Source organism: Homo sapiens, chromosome 4 (genome assembly GCF_000001405.40).
Source record: "Homo sapiens chromosome 4, GRCh38.p14 Primary Assembly".
Classification (NCBI taxonomy): domain Eukaryota; kingdom Metazoa; phylum Chordata; class Mammalia; order Primates; family Hominidae; genus Homo; species Homo sapiens.
Window position 1 is genome coordinate 40,300,070 of NC_000004.12, and position 6,172 is coordinate 40,306,241.

Sequence of the window (6,172 nt, forward strand, 5' to 3'; positions counted from 1 at the left end):
ACAGTGAACTCATTCTCTGAAATGTCCTGGGGCACATGTAGATCTTCAGCACACTGACTGGTTCTCAGAGGTCTATGATGCCATCTATCTCCTGGATTTTGTCACTGTCTCCAAACATCCTTGATGGCTCTGAAAGTGTTTTGTAGGGCCCCCTGCACATGCGTGGGGCATGCAGCTTTGAAGGGGAAAGACCACTTGAGGAGGATGAGTTTTTCTCTGTCTTGTGGGCTTCCCCTGCCCAGATCAGCCACAGAGAGGTGGCTGATCCTTTGGGATATGATGATGTTGCTAATAATACTTACCATTTATTGAGCTCTTCCTGCAAGCGGGACACCATGCAAAGCATGGTACCTGCATTACCTCATTTAACTTCTCTTCTTACCAGCCGTAAGTGGTAAGGAATATTTTTATCCATTTTTACATATGAGAAGATGGACATATGTAAAGTGACCATCTGGCCAGAATGGTCAAGGGATTTGCTCAAGACACACATCTCTACTAGTAGATAGAGCCTGGATTTGAATGCAGGTATATTTGCCTCAGACGGCAGCATAGTGATTTTGAGTTTGAACACTGAGGTCAGACTACTTGGGCTTGATTCCTCGCTTTGGGCAATCTTCGACAACCTCTTTGTATTTCAATTTCCTCTTTGGTAGAGGGGAGACGATAAACATATATATATCTCAACCTCATGGGGTTTTAGCATTAAATGGGAGCTATTTAAGGTATTTAGTATTTGGCAAGTATTAATTATTTCTCCTTCTTTACGATTTATGTCAGGTGGGGGTAGTGATTTACTCAAAAGAATAATATGCCAGAAATCCAGAGGTCTAAGGAAATACAGCATAAGGAACTGCCAGAGACCTGCTGTCAGACCTCAGCATTCAGTGACTCATTTCAGCCTCTGAGTTCCCATCTGCAAAATGGGCACAAGACTGGGACCTTTTTTTTTTTTTTTTGAGACCAAGTCTCACTCTGTTGCCTAGGCTGGAGTGCAGTGGCACGATCTTGACTCACTGCGACCTCTGCCTCCTGGGTTCAAGCAATTATCCTGCCTCAGCCTCCCAAGCAGTTGGGATTATAGGTGCCTGCCACCACTCCTGGCTAATTTGTTTATTTATTTTGAGTAGAGATGGGGTTTCACAATGTCGGCCAGGCTGGTCTCGAAGTCCTAATCTCAGCCTCCCAAAGAGCTGGGATTACAGGCATGTGCCACCGCGCCTGGCCTAGACTGGGACTTCTTGTGGATGAACAGAGGAAACACTTCTCCACGTGGCATCCCAGTCCTTTCTCTACTTCCAGAGCCAATTAAATCTGCCGACCACTCAGCAATCCAAATACAAATGATACATCATGGAAACTGACTGAGGAACACAGAGGCAGAAAGGAGGGTTGGTGAGAAACCCTCTCCACCTTCTTATGGGACTCAAAACACTGTCTAATTCACAGAGTGACTAGATATTGGTCTTGTCTTTTGGGGTTAAACCCTGGACAGTGGGGTATGACTTCTTGAAATGTGTCTATACTGCAGCCAAGCTCTGCAATCGGTGCAGTAGGATTTTATCTGTTGTCTATATAAGTAACATGATGGCTGGGGCTGGAAAGGGCCCAGTGCACAGCCAGGCAGGTGGGGTGGCCCACACTTGCCTGTCGCTGTTGCTCAGCTCCGGATCAGCACTGTCTTCCGAACCCAAAGAGGCTGGGAGATATTTTTACAAAGGCCCTGGGTCTATGTGTGTGGTTGAGCCCCCTCCCAGACAGGCTGATTTGTGAATGTGCTGAACTCCAGAGCACCAGTAGCCTAACCACAGAGCGGTGTTTTGTTTCTCTACCGGATACACCTGCCAAAAAGGCAGGGTTCACTTGTGCTGCAGGCTCCGGTTTGTTTTACTTTTAAAAAGATTGCACCCTCTAGATAAACCAGGGTGCACAGTTGTGTTATGGAGAACCAGTTGAGGTTGGAGAGTAATGAAATTGATTTTATTTTCTTTTGGGACAATTCTATACAATTTTTCCTTATTCAAATGAGCATTCTCCATATTCATATCAGTCGTTAGTTCCCAAATTGTACCCCGACAAGAGGATTTTAGGGATACAAAGGATCAAGAGCATTGAGTCACACACTGAGAAAGTTAGTCCCTTTTCAAATGTTTTCAATCTTTCTGGTTTTGTCAAGAAAAAGTCTTCGTTTGAAGCTATCTTTAACACCTAACATCTACTTCTCTCCCTTTATACATAACAAAACCAAAGTGAGTGCAGACCTTGGAATTAGTCTTTAGTTAGATATAGTGTCTAGTTAAATGTTATAATATTGTCTAAATAAAATTTGACAATATTGCTCTCTCTTTGTGATAATTATCTTTAGGATTACCTTAAATGTATGGCAAGGGATAGCAGTCTACCATTTACCTTAGGGCTACTGTGTTTCCTTTTAAAATAAACATGTTCTAGTTTTCAAAATCAATTAATTTAAAGAAAAATAGGAAGTAAATAATTGTATGAGTGCTATTCATAAATAATAAAAGTCATGAGGATAGAGTGTGGTGATAGTTGAAGATAGTAAAAACTGGGAAGGGAGTACATGGATATTTGATGTATGAGTGGCTGGGGAGCCATATTAACTTGGGTTTGAATCACTGCCTACCACCTGTGGGAAGATGAGCAAGTTATTTAACCTAGTTCCACATCTGTAAAATCAGGAGACCAGAAATTCATCACCTACCTGAGGACTTTTGTGAAGACAACTCATGCAGGGCTGAAATACATGGTACTAGAACACAGTATGTGCTCTATAAAGTTAGCCATGATTATTATTCTTGCCAGAGACTCTAGTTCTATTCTCAGAACTGTGCACAGAGTTAGCCCCTAGACGCGCTGCTGCTGTCTTTAGCATCATGTGCTAGTTGGGAGTCTGCTGAGAAGCAGATGCCAAGATGGTATTAGAGGTGCAAGAGATTTATGAGGGACACACCTGTGAAGGATAAAGGAGGAGGCCAGAGAAAGTGGGGAGAGGAGTTCTGACATCTGTACCAGGAAGGAGAGAAGGAGGCCGGGCGTGGTGGCTCATGTCTGTAATCTCAGCACTTTGGGAGGCTGAGGAGGATGGATCACCTGAGGTCAGGAGTTCAAGACCAGCCTGGCCAACATGGCAAAACCCTGTCTCTACTAAAAATACAAAAATTAGCCAGGTGTGGTGGCGGGTGCCTGTAATACCAGCTCCTCAGGAGGCTGAGGCAGGAGGATCGCTTGAACCCGGAAGGTGGAGGTTGCAGTGAGCTGAGATTGCACCACTGCACTCCATCCTGGGCAACAGAGCAAGACTTTGTATCAAAATAAATAAATAAATAAATAAATAAATAAATAAATAAATGGAAGGAGAGAAGGAAGGAGGATTGGGTTGGAGGAGCCTGAGACTGCAGTCAGTTTACAAGAAAGGTTTGGCCAGGCTGGTAAAGAATCCTGGAGCCAAAGTGGACTATTGGAATTGTCCCTCTTCTGTGCTCAGTCATTGGTTGGAGCAGCTGGCAGGAAGTGCAGCCTCCCTGTAGCCATGGTGTTGGATCCAGAAAGGCAGCTTCGGGGTGACCATCAATCACGCTCCCCACAGCAGGAGATCCAGCGGCATTAGCATGGCTGCCATGCATATCATTTCCATCTCACACATGAAACATGTTGAAAAATTGAACTTGAGAGTTTCTTCCAGTTCATTTTCCTGGTTAAGTAACTACTTGGACATTGTGACCCATTCAAAACCAATTTGTGATTTTCTTGTGTTTCAGTGCCCGACTAACAAGCCAAACAAATTAAGTACTTTGAAGGCTTTGTCTTGGTAACAGCTCTTTACTAAGCCTATTTGCCTTTTAACTCTAATTTTGGATTCCCAAAATTTTGCATTTTAGGCAGAGTTAAGCACAATGGACATTTTCATGCAAATCGAATCAATATAGAGCCCCAAATGGCAGCTACTGGGCCATATCCAGTCCACAGATCTGTTGGGCCCACACAGAATCTAAAAAAAAAATTGAACCAACATTCTAAAATGGAAAGATTTTATATTTTTATTTTATATTTTATTTTATTTTATTTTTTTTGAGAAGGAGTCTCGCTCTGTTGCCCAGGCTGGAGTGCAGTGGTGCCATCTCAGCTCATTGCAACCTCTGCCTCCCAGGTTCAAGCAATCCTCCTGCCTCAGCCTCCCGAGTAGTTGGGACTACTGGTGTAAGCCAATGCACCTGGCTAATTTTTTGTATTTTTTTTTTTTTTTTTTTTAGTGGAGATGGGATTTCTCCGTGTTGGCCAAACTGGTCTCGAACTCCTGACCTCAGGTGATCCACCTGCCTTGGCCTCCCAAAGTGCTGGGATTACAGCATGAGCCACCGTGCCTGGCCAAGATTTCATTATTTTTTAAAATGTTGATTCCTGGCTTCTTTTGAAAACAGCAGAGTTGAACATGGAGCCTGAATTTCTGCATGACCACATCATCTAAGGTGAAAGGGGCTGCTGCTTAAAATGGGGCTCTCCCTGTTTGCTCTGTGCTCCACTGCCCACAAAAGATACACATATGTCCTTACACCTGGCAAGAATCACTGGTTTATATTCCTGTCTAGTCCTTTGTGCAGAGTGCTAGCTGTTCCCCAATATTGCATTCTGTTCTTCCATAGTAATGTTCCAGATGGACTCATGATGGTCCCCCTAGGATTACAATTCCAGCTTCCCTTGCAGCTAGGTGTGGGCCAGTTACTAAGTTCTGGCCAAGGAGATGATTGTGGAATTGATGCTTGGAATTTCCAGACTGCCTTTAATGGAAAGCAGGATGTCTTCTCTTGCTCTAGTTCTTCTTCCTGCCTGTTGGAGTGTGGATGGGATAGTGGCAGCTGGGGCAGCCATGTGCTATCACAAGATGGAAGCTGTGTATGGAGCATACTAGAGCAAAAAGACAGGAAGAAACTACATCCCCAACATCATGGAATCACATGGCAGCTCTGGAAGGCTTATGCTCACACTCTTACCTAAGAAAAACAAAGTTCTGTTTTTATCTCTCATTTTTACAGCAGCCTCAGTTATATCTTAAAGAAAACATCTTGTTTGTAAGGGGGCCTGTGGCCCCTGGCTTAGACCAAGAAACTCTGGAACTGTGCAGGCAGCATCAAACCAAATTTCACCGAGAACCAAGATGAGCCATAATCCTTTCTATGGTAAAAGCAATATTGGAAAACCCTTTCTATGTCTCAGAGGCTCTGTTTGCAGGTGGCACATTGCATGTAGCTGTGAACTGGTTTATACAAATGGCTCCTTAGGGGCCGCTATTTCCCACCGCTGCATATCTCAGGTTCACAGACTACTGCACCACATTCTCACCTCTTTTTCTTCTCCACTTTGTCTTTAAAGGCCACACTTGAGCAGGCAGCCCTCCCACCTTTTCTCGGCAGTGCCATCTGAGTAGAAGCGAAGTAGAAACTTCTTGGTTGGTACTGTTCCGGTTTCCAAGGGACCAACGGAGGCTGGTGCTAAGTGCGAAACCATTGAGGATCTTGACAGTTTCGGTCTGAGCCCACCCTGTGGTATTATGTGAGGGCAAAGGGCCAGTTATGAAAATGATCTATGAAAAAATGACGCTATTACTTCCCCAGAGGCAGATGCCAAAAATGACATGTTATTGTGTTCCTTAGAATGATGAATGAAAGTATTGAATGAAATCTGAGTAATAATAATACCAAACTATTTAGTGTAGCCTGTGACAATGAGTCTTCCCAGCCAGGACTATTTTGGGAAATAGAAGCGGGAAAAAAAGAGTTGCTATTTACTGAGCACTTAAGGTGCTGCAAGTCTTATGCACATTTTCTCATTTAGTTATCTCAAAAATCCTACGATTTAGTATTATAGCAACTTTTTTTAAAAAGCAGAAGTGCTAAGAAAAGTTAAGGAACTCAACAAAGCTTGCATCGCTAGGAAGTAAAAAGCCAGAATTTTGATTTAAATCTAATGACCTATGTTTATTCCATATTATGCAGCCTCTTGGATGCTCTAATGCTGGCCTAATCAGGAGAAAGAGGCAAATGAGATCACGGTCAAAACTGCTGGGGAAGTCAGGTGCAGTGGCTCACGCCTGTAAACCCAGCACTTTGGGAGGCTGAGGAAGGAGAATCACTTGAGCCCAGGAGGTCAAGGCTGC

General features: G+C 43.7%; 4 annotated features.

The window, feature by feature from the left end:
• Positions 170-299: an enhancer, noted in NCBI's record as "active region_21482". NCBI's record gives its function as "activates an Ori minimal core promoter by ATAC-STARR-seq in GM12878 lymphoblastoid cells {active_cell/tissue: GM12878}" and the evidence as "EXISTENCE:reporter gene assay evidence [ECO:0000049][PMID:35858748]".
• Positions 5,286-5,345: an enhancer, noted in NCBI's record as "active region_21483". NCBI's record gives its function as "activates an Ori minimal core promoter by ATAC-STARR-seq in GM12878 lymphoblastoid cells {active_cell/tissue: GM12878}" and the evidence as "EXISTENCE:reporter gene assay evidence [ECO:0000049][PMID:35858748]".
• Positions 5,446-5,545: an enhancer, noted in NCBI's record as "active region_21484". NCBI's record gives its function as "activates an Ori minimal core promoter by ATAC-STARR-seq in GM12878 lymphoblastoid cells {active_cell/tissue: GM12878}" and the evidence as "EXISTENCE:reporter gene assay evidence [ECO:0000049][PMID:35858748]".
• Positions 5,656-5,715: an enhancer, noted in NCBI's record as "active region_21485". NCBI's record gives its function as "activates an Ori minimal core promoter by ATAC-STARR-seq in GM12878 lymphoblastoid cells {active_cell/tissue: GM12878}" and the evidence as "EXISTENCE:reporter gene assay evidence [ECO:0000049][PMID:35858748]".